This window comes from Homo sapiens, chromosome 22 (assembly GCF_000001405.40).
Source record: "Homo sapiens chromosome 22, GRCh38.p14 Primary Assembly".
NCBI lineage: Eukaryota > Metazoa > Chordata > Mammalia > Primates > Hominidae > Homo > Homo sapiens.
In genome coordinates this window covers 47,373,542-47,376,431 of record NC_000022.11, presented here as the reverse complement: position 1 = coordinate 47,376,431, position 2,890 = coordinate 47,373,542, and the positions used below count along the sequence as shown (strand labels likewise).

At 59.7% G+C, this 2,890-nt stretch overlaps 1 annotated feature.

The window, feature by feature from the left end:
• Positions 220-720: an enhancer, noted in NCBI's record as "H3K4me1 hESC enhancer chr22:47771462-47771962 (GRCh37/hg19 assembly coordinates)". NCBI's record gives its function as "activates a minimal SCP1, AML or CMV promoter by ChIP-STARR-seq in naive H9 embryonic stem cells {active_cell/tissue: H9 hESC(naive)}" and the evidence as "EXISTENCE:reporter gene assay evidence [ECO:0000049][PMID:30033119]".

The window sequence follows — 2,890 nt, the reverse complement described above, 5'->3', positions numbered from 1 at the left end:
GCCATGCACACCTTCCTCCCGAGAGATGACAGTCCCTGGGCTGCAGGGCAGGGGCTGGTCAGGGAGACCCCTGCCCTCTCAGACCTTCCTCCTGAGAAATGACAGTCCCTGGGCTACGGGGCAGGGGCTGGTCAGGGAGACCCCTGCCCTCTCAGACCTGACTCCATGTTCCATGGTTTGTAACTCAGAGCCTGGCACCTGGGATGAGCCACAGCCATGCTCCTGAGCCAGGCTCGCCAAACACTCACAGGCAGGGTTGCACGCGGGGGCTGAGGTTCACCAGCAACCCAGAGTAGCCGAGGGGTGCAGCGGGAAGCCCAGGCTGCTCGGGCTGGGAGCCCACCCTCAGATGGGCATGCCAAGACCAGACAGTAGGCGCCGAGAAGGTTCTGGGGTCGGCCTGGGGCTACTGAGGTCCCTCCCATCTCTATCACATGTTGAGGTGCTCCACGTTGTGTGTGTGTGTGTGTGTGTGTGTGTGTGCACGCGCGCGCGCACATGTGTGTTTGGGGAGTCCATTTTGCAGGTGGCTAACTTCGTTTACTGTGATTTCAGAGCTTCTTCCTCCACTGGCCGATCCTCTGCTGTGAGGAACAGGTTCAGGATGAATCTAAGACCCCTCTGTAAGCAGCGCCCCCGGCCCCTCGGGCACTTCAGTCCTCCCCATCTGTGAGTGTCTTAGGATCCAGATAGGATGTGACGCTCCTAGGTCACTCTCTGCCATTCCTCCAAAATAGGCGCTAAGATTTTAAATGAGACTTCCCCACAGGACTGGTCGCATTGATTAGGATCACAGTGGCCCGCAGAACCACAACCTCCAGGGAGCACCCTCTGTTCTTTCCCTAAAGGGTTCCAGGGTGGTGGAGGTGCTGAGCAAAGTCCGTTCAGGGGACTGGCATGTGGCTCTGCTGGCGTTTAGTACGCGTGCTCCCCTGCTGCTAGGTAGCCACGACCCGGACAGTGGGTGGGCTTTGTCCAGGTGTGTTTGGGGCACAGAGCCCAGGGTGACAAAAGTCTGAAGTCCTGCAGAGGACTGGGCTGCTGGTGGCCTGGCTGCTGGGGCTTTGTTAGCGGGCAAGCTCTCTGAGGGTGGAAACTGCCTCTTTATCACCCTCCCAGGGGTTCCCTGCCAGGTGCCCCTGATAAAGTTAAATCACACCAAACAATGCTGGCCACTCTGGCCCCAGGGCGAGGCACAAGAAAAAAAGTGACGAGTCCTGTCCACGCTGCTCCGGGGCCTCGGTGGGGCCGTCTTTACCCTTGACTGCCGTGGCCTGGTCTCTGGTTGGGTCAGAGCCCAGATGCCTGCAGGGGGCTTCCCTGTATCCCATCGTTGTGGCCGGGGCTGGGGTGGGTGCAGTGGGGTCTCTGCAGCCTGAAGGTCGTTCACCTGCTTCAGAAACAGGACAGAGGGCTGGACTGGGTGTAAGAGGATAGCACTTTGAGCCAGATTTGCTCCTCTATAAGCAGGGGGTGAGGCGAGCCTAGGGTGGGCCTCAGTTTCCCCAGTCATCCCCCATTCCCACCTAGCTCTAGGAGACCAGACACACACCTGGTCTCTGCATCCCATGTCAAATGCTCTGGGTGCCCTGGTCCCACTATTGCACTGCCCTGTTCCTACAGAGGGTGGAGGAGCCAGGCCTGCATCACGTTCCGTGCAGGCTTGAGGACAGGCCTTCCCATTCCACGCATGCAGCAGGTATCCACTGAGCACCTGCTCTGCGCTGACTTGGGTCTCAGGAGTCTGGGATATAGGGAAGCTTCTGTCTGTGGGGAGGCACAGGATGGACGTGAACGCGTTGGAGGAGTGGTGTGTGTTCAGAGAGAACCAAGAGTGAGCGAGAAGGTGCTGAGGAGGCCCCTGCCAGGGCTGCAGGCACCAAGGGCTGGAGCTCTGAGGAGGCGGGGGCTGAGGGAGGGCATCCCGCCGGGGGAAGATGCAGCCTCTGCTGCGCAGCTTTCTGTTCACTGATTCATTCATTTCATTAACATGGAACGAGTGTCCTTCAAGTGCCCCAAACTCCCCGGTGCCTCAGAACATCCAGCAGAAAGGCCCCAGCTCTGCACCCACCCTCTAGGCAGGAGACAGTGCAGGGCAACGGACTTTGTGTGTGCGTGTGTGGAGGGGTTGGGGGTCTCTAACCCGGAGAGGTGGGGACCGGCAGCTCCTGAAATTGGAGCAGGGACTTGATGAAAAGTTGGGGGGCACCTCAGAGAGCAGACACCAGGTAGACGGACGAAGACCCAGGAGGAGGGCGTCGCCAGGAATGGCTGCACGGGGCCAGGGGGTGGCAGGTGCAGGCAGAGGCAGGTGGGGCACGAGGGGCTTAGTGCTTTGACCACCAGAAACCCTGAGTCTGTCTGCATTGAGACACTGGCCATGTATCCAAAGCAGTGGGAGGTGATTAAGAGTTTTCCAGAAGGCTCACTGCAATAGCCACTCGAGTGGGACAGATGGCAGGGGATGGGGTGATGCCCAGACTGGAAGGGGAGTGCACCGCATTTGTGAAGGGCACATGTGGGGGGTCCTGAGGGCATAGGAAGGGCCATGGGTGCCATGGCCCAGGGCAGGACTGTGGGGCCCAGGGCTTCCCATTCATTGTTGAGACCCCCCCCCCAACCCCGGGCCACACCCCGGGCCACACCCCTGCCCACACGGAGATTGTGCCCTCATTGTGGGTAACAGATCACCAAGAGGTCAAAGCAAAGAAAAAGAGGGAGTGTCCCTCCTCCAGGAAGCTCCCAGCCTAGCTGGCGAGCATGGCCTCCCTTCTCCTCCTGGCCTCCCTTCTCCTCCTGGCCTCCCTTCTCCTCCTGGCTCCACGCCTTCTCTTTGCTTCCTCCCATTGCCGTTTCTCCTGACGATCTAAGAAAGAGCAGAAGCCTGAAA